This window comes from Homo sapiens, chromosome 6 (assembly GCF_000001405.40).
Source record: "Homo sapiens chromosome 6, GRCh38.p14 Primary Assembly".
Classification (NCBI taxonomy): Eukaryota; Metazoa; Chordata; class Mammalia; order Primates; family Hominidae; genus Homo; species Homo sapiens.
The window spans coordinates 142,260,710-142,276,991 of NC_000006.12; the positions used below are offsets into that span (position 1 = coordinate 142,260,710).

The window sequence follows — 16,282 nt, forward strand, 5'->3', positions numbered from 1 at the left end:
AATTTAATATATATCAGTATCAAAACCCTCTTCCAGATTATTTTGACTCTAAGAAAAAATTAAAACGTACATTAGAAACTAGAACATAACAATGATGACCATACTATATTAAAAAAATGTAACCTGCAGCTACAAAACTGTCCATAGTAAAAGGTATAATGTTAAATACTAACATGAAAAGAAAGGATGAAAACAATGAGTAATCAACAACTCATAGTTAAGAAACAAAACAAACCTAAATGTAGGAGAAAGAAAATATTGACAAGAGAAAAAGAAAGTAAACAAAACAAAATATATAGGACCAGCCAACAAATGCAAACCCCAAACGTTGTCTACGAAGATGAACAAACCTCTGATAAAAGTGATTGGTGAAAAGTGGGCATTATATTTATAATAGAGATTTTTTTAACCACAGAAGAATACATGAATAATTTTATCTTTGGTAAATTTTAATACTGAGATAACACTTAAATAATTTATTGGAAAAATATTAATTTAACTTTAAAAAACTAAATTTGTATTTTTAAATCCACTTATCATTAACAAAGAAAAGAGAAAGAAATAGTCCTGAAAAACACCAGACAACAATGTTTTTCTTGGCAAATTATATGTAATCTTCGGGTAACATATAATACCTATCTGAAAAAACTGTTACAGAGGATAAAAATATGGCACAACTCCCTAAATTCTTGATGTAAGTTAGGGTGGAGTGGACAAAGAGAAGATGAAGTAAAACATTCTAAAGTTCTCATGGGGGTAGGAAGAAAAGTTATAGGAAAAGGATGGTGAAAGTTTTCTAACATTCTTATGATATTGGGATGGCAGAAAAATAAGGAAAAATTAGAGCATATTAAATGGTAAACTGAAATTTAGGGGGACATGTTTGGGTTATTTTTGATTGATCATGTGAGCAAAGAAAGAAAAGTCAGCCATTGATGAAATGTAAAATTACATCATCAGAAATTCTAAAACAAGGTCATTAAAAACATAAATTGAATACAAATTTGATCAACCCACAGAAATAATAAACAATAAAGATTTGAGAAAATCATGTAAGATAAGTAATAAACTTAAAGTAAAGAAAGAAGGGATACATCATGAATAATCCAAATCTCATGTTGAAATGTAATCCCCAGTGTTGGAGATGGGGCCTGGTGGGAGGTGTTTGGGTCAAGAGAGTGGATCCTTCATGAACGGCTTGGTTCCATCCGTACAGTAATGAGTTCACTCAAGAGTCAGTTGTTGCCCTTGCTCCCTCTCTCACTCCTGCCCTTGCCATGTGAATGTGTCTGCTCCTCCTTTGCCTTCTGTCATGAGTAAAATCTCCCTGAGGCCCTTACCAGAAGCAGATGCTGGTGCCACACTTCTTGTACAGCCTGCAGAACTGAGAGCCAATTAAACCTCTTTTCTTTACAAATTACCCCATCTTGAGTATTCTTTTATAGCAATGCTAGAATGGCCTAACACAATCATGTATAAAATATGCATGCCATGTATAAAATATAAGCAAAAGGATTACTTATATACTGCTAACAAAAAATTCATAGGAAAATATAACAAAGCTGAACTTGTGTGTGTTCAAAAACATAGCCCCCAAATGCAAAAAAACAAAATATTTAATTAAACACATAGAGAAATTTATAAATAGTGCATTCCATCAGAGTTCATCACATGAACAAACATTTCTCAAGAGAAGACATACAAGTGGCCAAAAAGCATTAAAAGAAATCAACATCACTAATCATCAGAGAAATGCAAATTAAAACCACAATGAGATATCATCTCACACTGGTCAGAATGGCTATTACTAAAAAGTCAAAAAATAATAGATACTGGTAAGGCTGTGTAGAGAAGGTAGTACTTATACACTGCTGGTGGGAATACACACTAGTTCAGTCACTGAGGAAAGCAGTTCAGAGATTTCTCAAAGAACTTGGAACTATCAGGTTGGTGCAAAAGTAATTGAGGGTTTTGCCATGATTTTCAATGGCAAAACATGCAATTACTTTTGCACCAATTTATACTATTCAACCCAGCAATCCCATTACTGAGTGTATATCCAAAAGAAAAGAAATTGTTCCACCAAAAAGACAGATGCACTCACATTTTCGTCACAGCACTATTCACAATAGCAAAGACATAGAATCAACCTACATGCCCATCAGTGGTGGACTGGGTAAAGAAAATGTGCTGCATCTACATCATGGAATACTACACAGCAATAAAAAAGAATGAAATCATGTCTTTTGCAACAACATTGATGCAGCTTGAGGCCATTATCCTAGACAAATTAACTCAGGAACAGAAAACCAAATACCACATGTTCTTATTTACAAGACGGAGCAAAACATTGGGTACTCATGGACATAAAAAAGGCAACAATAGATTCTGGGGAATATTAGAGGTGGGAGAAGGAGGCAGACAAGGGTTGAAAAACTTCTGGGTACTATAGTCACTTCCTGGGTGATGAGCTCAATTGTACTCCAAACCTCAGCATCACACAATATCCATGTAGCAAACCGGCATATGTATCCCCTGAATCTAAAATAAAGGTTGAAATTACAAAAAACAAACAAACAAACAAACTAACAAAACAGGAATACCTCTCATCACACTAAAAATAAATAGACCACATTCGATTCGATTCTTCTATTAGAGAGAGTATTTCAGGTTACATCTTACAAGAAGTCCAGAGAGTTAGGAAACACAGAATCAGCTTATCTTTAAGCAGTTTATTAGTTGTATTGTTTTAGTATATTTTTAAGCAGTATATTTTTATTTAGTATATTTTAAGCAGTATATTTTTAAGCAGTATATTAGTAAGTGTTTTTACTTAAAAAAAATCTTCCAACACATTTTCAAGTGATGTATTTCTGGATTAAAAGCACTGGCTTTAATTTTGAATATGAACTGTCCAAAAGCTTAGAAACACAAGAAAAATAACGCATTATTATACCTTTTTCAGATTAACAATTAAAATTTAGATGTAAAATTGTAATGAGAATACTTTTGTAAGAAAATCTAGGAGTAGAGAAAATTTTAACCAACACTGAAAACTCAGAATTATATAACAATTTCAAAATTAAAAGCTTCTGCCAGGCACAGTGGCTCAGTGCCTTTAATCCAACTCTTTGGGAGACCAAAGAGGTGGATCACTTGATCTCCGAAGTTCGGAACCAGCCTGGGCAATATGGCAAAACCCTGTCTTTACAAAAAATACAAACAATTAGCTGAGCATGGTGGCACACACCTGTGGTCACAGCTACTCAGGAGGCTGAGATGGGAGGATCACTTGAGCCTGGGAGGTTGAGGCTGCAGTGAGCCGAGATCATGCCACTGCACTCTTGCCTGGGTGACATAGCCAGATCCTGCCTCAAAAAAAAAAAAAAATTAAAAGCTTTTATATAACAAAACTGTTACAAATAAAATCAAGAGGTGATTATAATGATGGAGAATATTTGTAATGTGGATGTTAAAGCATTAATGTATACTCATACAAGGAGCTATTAAAATTGACAAGAAAATGACAGCTCAATAGCATATCCGATAGCATAACCTAGGAGTACATAAACCACAGAGGAGTTAATCTAAATGGGCAAGAAACACTTAAAAGAAATGCTTGTTTGAAAAAAAAATAAAGCCAAAAAACCCAGAAAGATCACTTTGTACCCATCAGGCTAGTAAAATTTAACAATGAGCTACAACACCCCATTGTTGTCAAAATGAATATAAAGATTACTTTCATACTTTCAATGTTAATGTGATATGTTACAACTTCTTGGAAAGCAATCTAGCAAAATACACTAAAATTAAAAATAAATATATTCTTGACCTAGCCATCTCTCTTGTGGGACTCTGTCCCAATGAAATATAAGCACTAACAGATGTATAAAACTGTTTATTGCAACCATGTTTTAGTGGCAAGAAAACAAGCAAAATGTTAATACCCACTAATAGGGGAGTGGATGAAGAAATTATAGAACACTTACTCTTGTGAACACTTGTTTATAAAATATTATTCAACCATTAAAAATTATTGCTATACTAGTTTACTTGGAAGTAAAGTATAGTTATGGGCTCACTTCTGTCTAATATTGTGCTGTTAAACAGGAATGACAAGTACATATATTCAAAGACACCAGTGTGTTATTAAAAATTGTGCTGAAGCTATTTTGTGTGTGTGTCAAGTTCTCAAGTTAATTTTCCTTCCTGAATACTAACAAAAACGTAATAGATTTCTAAAAAGAATTGTTACAACATACTAGATGAAAACACTTTCTCATGTGACTTTAAATGATGATTGGAAACTCTCCTGTTTAATTGACTGAGAAGACCCAGCTCCCATCTTGGTATTCTTCTAACACAAATTTAATCTTGCAAATAATACCCTGTTCTTTTACGAAACACATCTATAAGAGAATAGTTAATAGGAACAAATTAAGATTTTGTAAAAACTATGATCAATAAAATAAGACAGAGCAGTCAGAGGATCATTATGAGAAAGTTGAAGATTAATAGCACTATTGTCAGTATAAAAGCCATTTTATTCCTGAAAATTACCATATCAAAAAAGAGACCACCACTCACTGCCACCTTATAAATTCATAGTTCCATGTAAATAGGAATACAGTAAACTCTGCAAAATTTCAGACTAAATGAATTTAAATTTTTTAATACAGGACTTCTCAGAGCTTTTATTTTGTTATTCTGATTTATGATCCTTCAAGAGAAGGGTTTACTGTACGTGACTGTGTGACTCCCCCATTTTATTCAGACTCTCTTACTAGATAAATGTTTCTAGGAATATTGAGGACTTCTGCCCCTGAAAGCGATGTATTTTAATGTCCTGTATTGCCTTCAATTTAGTATATGTTTGTTTCTTTATTGGGTTTCTGCTGTATACCTTGTACTATGTTGAAGGCTGGAGATGTAGTGAAGTTCAAAGTCTGGTTGAAAAAGCAGATATGCAAACAAAGTGTTATATGATAGGCTTAGTTCAAGGTTGGCTCTGGGTTAGGACAGTGGAAGATGAGAAGGAAGAACAAACTATTATCTCTATAGTGGAGAGTAAAGCTCCTCAATTGCAGGCAGTCAGAGGAGAAGTAAAATTTAGAACAGGTCCCACACCAGACTGAGAAGTAAAGAGTTTACTTTTAGTGTCTATAATGAGACTGAAACTCTACCTGAGACAAACCTTGATTTCTTTTCCTTTTCTGCAACATCTCTCAAGTGCCTCCCACCTTAGGCCCAAATCCCTGCCAGAAACTCATCTAGAACACTCTTCTCTGGAACTCATAAGTCTAATTCTTTGTTTTCAAACTCACTCCTTCAGGGCTGGACATCTCCTGAAACACTGTTCTTATCCAGAGTTGAAGGTCTCTTTCCTGAATCCATTAAAAGATGACTTCCTTTAGCTTCTCCAGGAATTTGTTTTCTTATCCTATCTCTCAAAGCCAGACTTTTTCTATCGCCTAAGAAAACAGTTACTATATCTGATGTTCTGATTGTTACTAATGTGCTGATGGGGGTGTGTTAGTTTTAGACCTCAGAGAAACAGATGCCAAAATGGGATTAGAAGTGCAAGAGAGATATTGGGGGAAATGCTTACGAAGGGTTAAGGGAAGAGAATAGAAGAGGAGGAGAGTTCGGTCTGCAGTGCAGTTCCGATGCCTGTGGAGGAAAAGGACTGGGTAGGAAGAGGTGCAGTCAGCAGCACAGCTCTAAGAAGACATCCTCTCATGACAAGTCTTAGGTGGTGGTTGTTATTTTCAAAATTACTAGAACTCATGAATATGAGCATAAATGATATGTTTTCATCTATTGTATTGTTGTCTTTATAGATGTCACATCTTTGGTTGGTAGGACCATGTTAGATTGGATCCTGAGTCATTTTGATGCAATTATAGTCTTTGATAAGTTCATTGCCATCTCATATGATAACAGATTCCAAGCTCATCTCATACAATTCCTACCTCAGACCTCAGAATTATACATATCTCTAAGACATGTTTCTTTTAGTGGGAAATATGATTTAGGAACCGGAATCCATTCCTTAGGGGTATTATGATTACTCCTGATCATTTCTAGGCCTTTTCAGTGGACAGAGCTATAAAATATAAATTAATTTTGATACATTCAATGCAAATTCAGAACTGTATTGTTTCTGCATACCCTCAACTGTCTTACAATTACAGAATTTTTCTTTTATCTGATGCAAAGTGTCCTGGTTTTCAATGACAATGGTGACACTAAAATTTGAGTATTACATAACTGTTCATTTGATTTAGTACACTTGAGTCACAGAACACTCTAGAATAATAACATTATTACCACTAATAACATAATTGCTGAAAGAACTAAATATTTAGTAGCTTTTTTGTTCTCTGTATACCCCACTGAAACTATACAAATTTCTGTGTTTTAAAATCATTGGAAATAATTCCACTTGGTGTGGTTGTGCCACCAACTGGTACAAAATAGGTTCATTTAAAAAATTATTTTTAATATTTAGAAATTTTTAAAATTTTAAACTTTTTAAATAATTATATTAAATAACATGTATGTTTCAAAAGACAAATCTACAAGTAGAAGATACAGTCAAAGAACTCTAGCTCCCATCCCTGTCCCTTCTACCTGAGTTCCCCTCTTCACGTATTGCTAACTAAAATAAGATTTATCCTTCCTTTGTTCTTTTTGTAATATAAGATATTATTTTACAAAATATAATAAGATATTATATTACAAAATATACATATTTTATATTACAAAAAGAACAAAGGAAGGATAAACCTTACTTGGTTTACATACATTTTCTTTTTGATAAATAATAGCATTCTAAACACATTTTATCTTGCTTTTTGGACTTAAATCTTGGAGACTGTCCCATAGTAGTATATATAGATATTACCCATTCCTTTTTTACATCTCTGTAATATTCCATTGTGGTTTATATTTTATTCAACCAGTCTCTTGACGACAATTTGAGGTGTTTTCAGTCTTTTGCTGTAACAATATCCCAACCATCTAGGTTGTCATACCTCTATAATTTTTCCCAGGGTAATAGGTGAGAAATTGTATCTCAGTAGAGTTTTAATTTGCATTTCTCTTGTGAGAGAGTTCATGTGCCTTTTTTATATAAGTAAGAACCATATCCCTTTCTTTTTGTGTGAGCTGTTCATTTTACTAGCCTATTTTCCTACAGTATCAGTCTTCTCTATTGCATAAATGAAGCAGGAAAGGGATTGAGAGATATGGAGAAATAAAAAACAAATTGCAATTTGGCTGCTGATGATGAATGAATCCCAGAACAGCTTTCTCACTGTGGCTGTAGACATCTATCAGACCACAATTCAACCTTTCAACAACCACAAAAACATTGGTTTGTTGGCATGGGTAACTCTCTGAGTCCTAGTGAGGTCTCCAATGCTTCACTAAAGTGATCTAAGATACAAAGTACCTGAGATTTTGTTCGTACTCATATTCCTCTTTTTTTTTTTTTTTTTTTTGAGAGAAGTCTTGCTCTTGTCCCCGAGGCTTGAGTGCAACGGCTCGATCTCGGCTCACTGCAACCTCTGCCTCCCAGGTTCAAACGATTCTCCTGGCTCTGCCTCCCGAGTAGCTGGGATTAAGGTGCCTGCCACCACGCCCAGCTAATTTTTGTATTTTTTAGTAGAGACAGGGTTTCACCATTTTGGCCAGGCTGGTCTCGAACACCTGACCTCAGGCAATCTGCCTGCCTCAACCTCCCAAAGTGCTGGGATTACAGGCATGAGCCACCGTGCCCAGCCTATTCCTCTTATTATTATTATTACTTTATATCTGCTGGTTAAATGTACTCTATAAGGAATTACTTCCCAATCTTTTTCAAATAATGGCAAAATAGACAATTATAGTGTTTATATAGTACACCAAGATAAGCTACAAGTAGTTTGGGGATGTTTATATGGGGCTTTCTGAAATTATCTTTACATTACTTAACTATCATAAAAGCCCAAATTATTAGAGATGATATTAAATGTTGAATTTAGATATAACCTCAAAATTACATTTTTTGAATGGGTTAATGGGAAACTTAAGCTTGATTTTGTGAATACATCTTTTTAAAGTTAGTTTGAAATAGCGACATGAAATTCTTAACCTCCCACGAAGAGATACTTTGTTCACAAAATGAAGTGACGAAAATATTACAACCTCATGTTTTAACCATTCCCAAATTTATAACTTTTGAAATTATATTCAGAAAATGAATGCTCCTCGCTCTTCTTTCAACGGTAAATGTCATATGAAAATTTCATATGATCTGTGCAAACATAAGTTTGCAGTCACCCCCTGGTGCTGCTACTGCCAGTGGACCCGGCCAAGCTTCCTTAGACCAGCTCACCTCGGTCTATGGGCCTTTTCCTTGGCCACAAACTCTTCCCGTGGCTCCCCTAGTGTCGGAACACGATGGGTAAAATGGCATTCTCTGAGACCAGTTGCTCAAGAAGTTGTCCAGGTGGTGGATCATCCATTTGGCTTCCCCAGTCACTTCACTGAGGAGAGGTAGTGCTAGATGTGGCTCAGCATGCTTGTCACCTGCAGGGATAGCAAGACACCCCATTGGACCTTGTGCCACCAGCTACTACCTAAGGAGCTTCAAACATGCCTTCTTTGGTCAGAAATGACCATCCCTAGGGCTCCATCTACCTGACAGCTGAAGGGTCAGTATCTCCTGGCACACAGGTGACCCACACCAGTTGAGAAGAGCTGCTATCATGCATTGGTTAGAAAATGCCATTTCTAAATCCTTTCCTTGCCACTCAATAGTGGGTGACATAAGGGAAACAAAGGTTTCAAAAGTTGTTTTTAAATGGAATGTTTGCTAAATTAAAAACAAATTAAGAAGCAACTCTGCTTCAGATTTTATCGTACTCATTTGGGTAGAAATGAGAGTTTTTAGGTAGAAAAAAATTATATATGTGTAACAGCTGTGTTTCCTGGCTTACTTCTCACATTGTCAGAAAACTGTACGTAAGCGACAGGCTATCCTAGGGCACCCTCAGATTCAAAAACTCACCATGGCTTTGCCTAACATTCAATTCACTGCAAACACCTTAGACAAGTGTACAAGTTATAGAGGAATAACAAGAAACATCATTGATGTGGTTTGGCTGGGTCCTCACCTAAACCTCATCTTGAATTGCAGCTCCATAATTCCCACATGTTGTGGGAGGGACCCGGTGGGAGACGATTGAATCATGGGGGCGTTTTCCCCCATACTGTTCTCACGGTAGTGAATAAGTCTCACAAGATCTGATGGTTTTATAAGATTTTTGCTTGGCTCTCATTCTCTCTTGTCTGCTGCTATGCAAGACTTGTCTTTCACCTTCCACCATGGTTGTGAGACCTCCCCAGCCATGTGGAACTGTGAGTCCATTAAACTTCTTTTTCTTTATAAATTACCCAGTCTCAGGTATGTCTTTATTGGCGGCATGAAAATGAACTAATACAATCATCTTACCAAACTTGACTTTCTCTGGCTCATAATAGATATGTTTGCCTATAATGTTATACTCTTTGCAGAAGATATTCTATAATATCACCAGTTACATGTACCTTGAAATCAACTGGCCTATAGACATCCAAATTCTATAAAATGGTTAAGGACAGCATGACTTACATTTTTTATGTGTTCAGCAGATGTAAAGAATACTGTCAAGATCTCTCTCTGTGTGTGTGTGTGTGTGTGTGTGTGTGTGTGTGTGTGTGTGTGTGATGAGGATTCTAATAACATGAGGCAATGATGGGAAGAGAGAAAAAGTAAAGACAGGGAAGAAGGGTGGAGAGGGAAAGGATTGGATGACCAGGATAGAGGAATAAATAGAGATAGGTGGTTAAAGATAGATAGAGATTGTTATAGCACAGAAGCACCAAAGTTATAAATTATTACCCAGTTAATTCCACAAAAATTTAAGTGCCTACTGTACCAGGAGCTGGGGTACAACAGTGGACAAAACCAGATAAAACTCCTGCCATTCGTAGTTTACATTCTGGCTGATTCTGTGCAGCTGCCAAGCCTTAGTAAATAACTTTCTTAAAATATATTCAGGAAACGTCTCTATTCATAAATAGTACCTCTTGAGGGTTTGAAAAGGTACATTCAATCTTTTTTTTTTGTCTTTTTAAAATCTTATTTTCAATTGACAAATTATAATTGTATATATTTGTGGAGTACAAGGTAATATTTTGATATAGGTACACATTGTGGATGATTAAATCTAGCTAATTAACAAATGCATTACCTCACATACTTTATCATTTTTTTGAGATGCAAACATTTAAAATCTACTCTCTTAGCAATTTTCAATACAATGCATTATTAATTATATCCATTATGCTGTGCGATAGGCCTCGAAAACTTATTCCTCTTATCTAACTGCAACTGTCCCCTTTGACCAACATCTCCTCCTTCCCCCCTCCAGCACCACACCACTTCAGTCTCTGCCATTCTACTCCGCTTCTCTGAGCTGAACATTTCTAGATTCTATATATAAATAACATAAAGTAGTATTTGTCTTTCCGTATCTGGCTTATTTCACTTAGCATAATGTCAGCCAGGTTTATTCCTGTTGTTGGAAATGACAGAATTTCCTTTTTAATGCTGAATAGTATTACATTGTGTACACATAACACACTCATATTTATCCATTGATGGACATCTAGGCTGATTCCACATCTTGGCTATTGTGAAAAACACTTCAATAAACATGGGAGTGCAGACACCTCTTTAACATACTGATTTTAATTCTGTTGGATATATACCCAGGAGTAGGATTGCTGGATTATATGGCATTTCTACTTTTAGCTTTCTGAGGAACTTCCATACTGTTTTCCATAATGGCTGTACTAATTTACATTCCCACCAACAATGTACTAGGGTTCCCTTCACTCCACATCCTCACCAACATTTATCTTTGTTTTTAACCACAGCCATTCGAACTGGTGTGTGGCAATACTCACTCTGGTTTTAACTTGCATTTCTCTGATGATTAGTCAAAGATATATACAATTTTTATTTTCAATTTTGAGAAATGTAGCAGATAACCAAGTAGTATACAACTGTCTTAATTTCATGACATACAATGATTTTTTAAAAATGCATAAAACAGCACAAGTGGTTTAATGAAAAGTTATAAAAACAAAGTTGTACATTTTATTACCACTATCTATTTCCATTTCTGTATTTTCAATAGGAATTTTATGAGGTCTGTGTTTTCAGGGAATTCATTTTCAGATTGTAAAATTCCTTCATAAACTATAAAATTATATACAAATGGGTGGTGACAAATTATATTTTCTATTCCTCATATTTCAGGGAGTTTCTCTACCCTCTTCCTGAAGCCTTGACCCACACCAAGCTAGGTCAAACAAAAAGGACCATCTTGTCACTCTTTAATAAGTGAAATAATATACCTGGGGGTCTTGTTGACATAATGAAGGATTAGGGATGTTATGATGGGCAAGCTGTGTCTTGAAGCTGTTTAATGCAGAAGATTCCAGGAAGAACCAGTTTCTGTCACTCCTGGATACACATAGGACCTGAAGCATCTATGGCCCACTCTTCCATCCACTTCATCATCAAAAGGAAAACTACATGGAACAATTCAATTGTCAGCTGAAACCTAGAGGAAGAAGTGCACCACTGGGGAGCAGAAAGAAAAGGGAGTGGGGCTGGGTGCGGTGGCTCACGCCTGTAATCCCAGCACTTTGGAAGGCCGAGGCAGGTGGATCACGAGGCTGGGAGATCAAGACCATCCTGGTTAACATGGTGAAACCCCATCTCTACTAAAAATACAAAAATTAGCTGGGTGTGGTGGCGCGTACCTGTAATCCCAACTACTCAGAAGGCTGAGGCACGATAATCGCTTGAACCCAGGAGACGAAGGTTGCAGTGAGCCGAGATCGCACCACTGCTCTCCAGCCTGGCAACAGAGTGAGACTCCGTCTTAAAAAAAAAAAAAAAATGAAAAGGGAGTGGAGTCAGACAAAGGTGTGGACACTGTGGTGCCCACACAAATGTACTGATTTGCACCATGCTCTGAACTACAAAAATAAGATTTCTTTCCTGTCCTGTCAGCCACTAAACACATGCATAAGGGGCTTCACAACTGTTTATTTTTAATTATTATTATTATTGCTGCTGGTGTTGTTGTTGATATGGTAACAGACTCTAAACATACCTGTTTTCCACACACCTCCAATGCTACTAATGCCTGCCATTAGGATTCAGAGCTGCTGCTTTCATGTTTCATTATAAAATGACAGTGGAGACAGCATGGATATCATACAGTGCAAGTCCACTTTCCCATGCTCATGGGAAGCAGGAGGCAGCAAAGCTCTGCCTGTCCAAGGACCATATCCTTGTCTTTTTCTTCCTCCATGGATTCTCAGCAGGTCCCTGTGCTTCACATTTTCAGATTAGAATAAAACTGTAAGCTGCTGTCTGTTTTAAAATAAGAACTACTCAAGGGCAGTGAACAAAGCTGTTGAGTAAGTGCTATATGCCAGAAGTTTTACTATTCTCATTTAACCCTAGCAACAAAACTACATGTTGTTGTTGATGTGATTATTATTGAGAGAGAGTCTCTCTGGGTCACCCAGACTGGAGCAATCATGGCCCACTGCAATCTCCCAGGCTCAGGCAATCCTCCTACCTCAGCCTCCCAAGTAGCTGGGACTACAGGCACGAGCCACCACTCCTGGATAATTTTTTGTATTTTTAGTAGAGACGGGGTTTTGCCATATTACCCAGGCTGGTCTCAAACTCCAGGACTCTGGCAATCTGCCCCCCCAGGCCTCCCAAAGTGCTGGGATTATAGGCATGAGCCACCGTGCCCAGCCCATGTTATGTTTTATTACCATTAGTTTACAGATGGGCAAACAGAGGTTCGGAAAAGTTAAGTAGATTGTACCATATCACATTTGCTAATAAGTAGTAAAAACAGAATCCAGATCAAAATCTATCTAATGACAGACTATATATTTTGCACTGTATGTCATTTCTAGAGCCTGCTGTTATTTCTGTTGGGTGTGGTAGCAAAGCATATGGATTAAAATACTCCCTTACGAGTCAAACAAGATCTAGGTTTAAAAGCTAGTTTCATCACTTTCCATTAGCATGATTTTAGCCTACTCATCTGTACAATGGGGATAAGAGCAATATCTACTCATGGAGTAATTCTGAGGATTAATTAAATAATGTCCCTAAAAACATGGCCCAGTGTGTTATGTAGTAAGCACGATAGCTGAGTGAGTCTACTTGGAACAGCATATAACAGCATTTAACTTTCACTGCCAAGGGCATTCATTCTGACTTTTTTTAAAAAGCTCTTTTTTGCTCCTCTCTCTGTTTATAATGTCATAATTTCCCTTGGATGACTCTTTCTCTTCTGGAAAAGATAATTTCCTCATGAATAACAGTCCTGCAAGAACTTGGTGCCTTTCTAATCTTAGCTGTAGGGGAAGGGCATATTTGTAGACAGTGATGATAACTCTCCATCTTAATTTTCCATGGTGAAATTGTATGACCCTTTTCTTCAGCCAGACAACCAAAAACATAAAGGCTCTTAGCTATAGGTGTTAATCAAATATGTGTCAGACATCTTTAAAATATATTTCTCTAAAAAACATGGCTCCATCCTGAAAGCAAGGCATGGAAAGAACTCAATTTTTTAATTAGGAACATGCTTTGGGTGATACTTTTGATTGGCCAAATTATTCTTTGCTAAATAATTTGGTAATCTTGAATGCAGTTGTATGTAATTTCACCTAATCCAGAGATTTTCAATTAGAGATTTCAAAATTCAGTCCCCAAAATGCCTCTCTTGTTGGGGGAACTGATACCCAGACATCAGTCATACATAGAGATTTGGGGAAGGGAGAAGGCGGCTGCCAGATGTTCAGATGATGTGGGAGGCAAATAGGTCAAAAGACTGCCTGCAATTCTTTTGCTTTAAAGAGCCGGGACATCTCCTTTAAGAAGCTTCTGAGGTTTGTATGTTATATTCTAAAGAGCATGTCCTTCCTCACGCCTGTAAGTGGCAGATCTAAGTCCATAATGTGTATGCTGAACAGATGTTTTATTTGTGTCCCACATGTTCCTGGTAGACTGCTAGGTGAGCCAGAGGTGAGGAAGAAAGATAAGAGAAAGGCATAAACTCTGCCTTTGGAGTTTATACTCCAGTCGAATTGAATTAGAATGACCTATCCTTATGCTGGGCTTGTAAGAGTTATCCCTCAAGAACAAAAAGTTGGTAGCACTTACTATGAAGCCAAATGCATTTCGACTCTTGGATGATGAAGTGTGGCCATGAGAAATGAATGGGAAATTCATTCACTTGGATTTGAAGTCAGTTATCTGGACTTTTAGTACCAGTTTGTCTCTAATTTTGTAGGTCTTCTATTCAATCACTATTAAATCTAACTTTTAATTTCTTTGTTGATAAAGCCTAGATTAAATCACCTTTAAGTCTCTTTCAGAAATATGTTTCTACAATTTTAAGTGGAGGTTATATGAATCAAGGCAACAAAACTGTCTTCAGGAACCACTCAGAGCTCTGCACTATGCCCGCTGGTGTGGAGGAGTGAATGAGGACTGAGTCATGGATCCTAAGGACAAGGGATTACTTTATATGGAGGAAACTAGATATGCATCCAGGATGGATATGTGACTATGTGACAAAATGAGTTAATTATCAAGCAGGTCCAAGAAAGGTAAGATAAACGTGCCTGTGTATATTTATTAATTTTACTGTCTAAAGCACTGGAAAAAAGGCAAAAGACCTGCCAGACCAGACTGACAACTTCTTCTCCCTGATCTGAACCCCTATTTGCTATTATTTTAATCTGTATATAGGCATCTCACATACACACACACACACACTGCGTTGTATGTAATGCACTTTGTTATATTAACTTACATTCTAGATGCACTAGGAGAACTGATGCATTCGTCAAGGTTCTTCAGTTTCAAGCAATGTAAACAGACTCTGGATAATGTAAGTGAAAAGGGAGTTCGTTGAGAGTTGCTGGGTGAGATCACAGAGTGAAGGGAAAGCACTAGAACCAGCATAAGAAAGTTCAGGAAGCAGCTAGCTCCAGGGGTTTCAGTGGCAACAGAACTCTGTTGCTTTTATCAGTCAGTGAGCCATCAGAAGTAGAAGGCATGCCATTCCAACCATCTTTTCTGACTTTAGGCTCAAGATTCAAAATCCTGGAAGAGAAAAATCCTGATTCACTTAGCTTTGGCTTTATGCTGACCTTTTGACCAGTTGAGGGAAGACTCCTTGGTTTTCGGTACTCTAAGACTGCACACAACGGGAGGCGGTAGGAAACTGGGAGATGTAAATTGATGCTCCAGAGGAAAGACAGCATGGATGCTGAATAGTCAACACCAAAAACATCCATTATAGCTAGCTATTGTCAAAAAGCCTGAATTTTTCTTGAAGAGCAATTAACTATCCTTGAAGTTTTCTTAAAGGCTGAGTTTGGGTTAATTTCTATTAATTAAAATTAATATTTAAAAAACATATCTGTGATTTTTTAAAGATTATTTTGGGAGATAAAATAGATGTTCCAGGAATATATAGCATGTTTATTCTTTGGCTATAAGTAACCTCTGACACATCCTTTGAAACTCCAGGAAACAATTATAGCTGTCTAGAGGAAGGCAAAGTTGGAAAGAGCTGTTGATAGTGTCAGGGAGACCAGATTTGTATCTTCATTATGTACTACATGTACAATTTTAGACAAACACTTTGACTTCTCTGTGTCTCAAATTCCTAAACTATAAAGTGGAAATAATCTGTAACGAGTGCCCAATGAATGGAAAACAACTTAGAACAGTGCCTGGAACACAGAGAATGTTAATTGTGGTGTTGTGATTGAATAGATTTGCTATGCAGGTCACAGGACATATGTAAAATGGAATTTTTTACTTTCTAAGGGACTCAAAAAGAATTCTCAGACCAGATGAAAAACTTACCTGTTTTAAAATGCTCCATAAAAATCAGATGTTATCATTATGTCCTATTCTTCTTAGGTTGAATTTGCCACTTGAGCCAGGAAATTTTCTCATGATTCCTAATTATTTCTGCTAAAAAAAACTTTCTTAATGATAGCACCTTTGCCTGTAAATTTATACTTCTTTCCCCCTTTTTTATATGTATTCAATTCCTGTCTTCCATTAATGTCCATCTCATTCCCCTTCTTCTCCATGATGCTTTTCTCAGCCCTGCATAAGGGT

General features: G+C 36.6%; 1 annotated feature.

Moving 5' to 3' along the window:
* Positions 14,668 to 15,867: an enhancer, noted in NCBI's record as "CDK7 strongly-dependent group 2 enhancer chr6:142596514-142597713 (GRCh37/hg19 assembly coordinates)". NCBI's record gives its function as "activates an origin of replication core promoter dependent on BRD2, BRD4, P300/CBP, MED14 and CDK7 cofactors, with strong dependence on CDK7, by STARR-seq in HCT116 cells {active_cell/tissue: HCT116}" and the evidence as "EXISTENCE:reporter gene assay evidence [ECO:0000049][PMID:35650434]".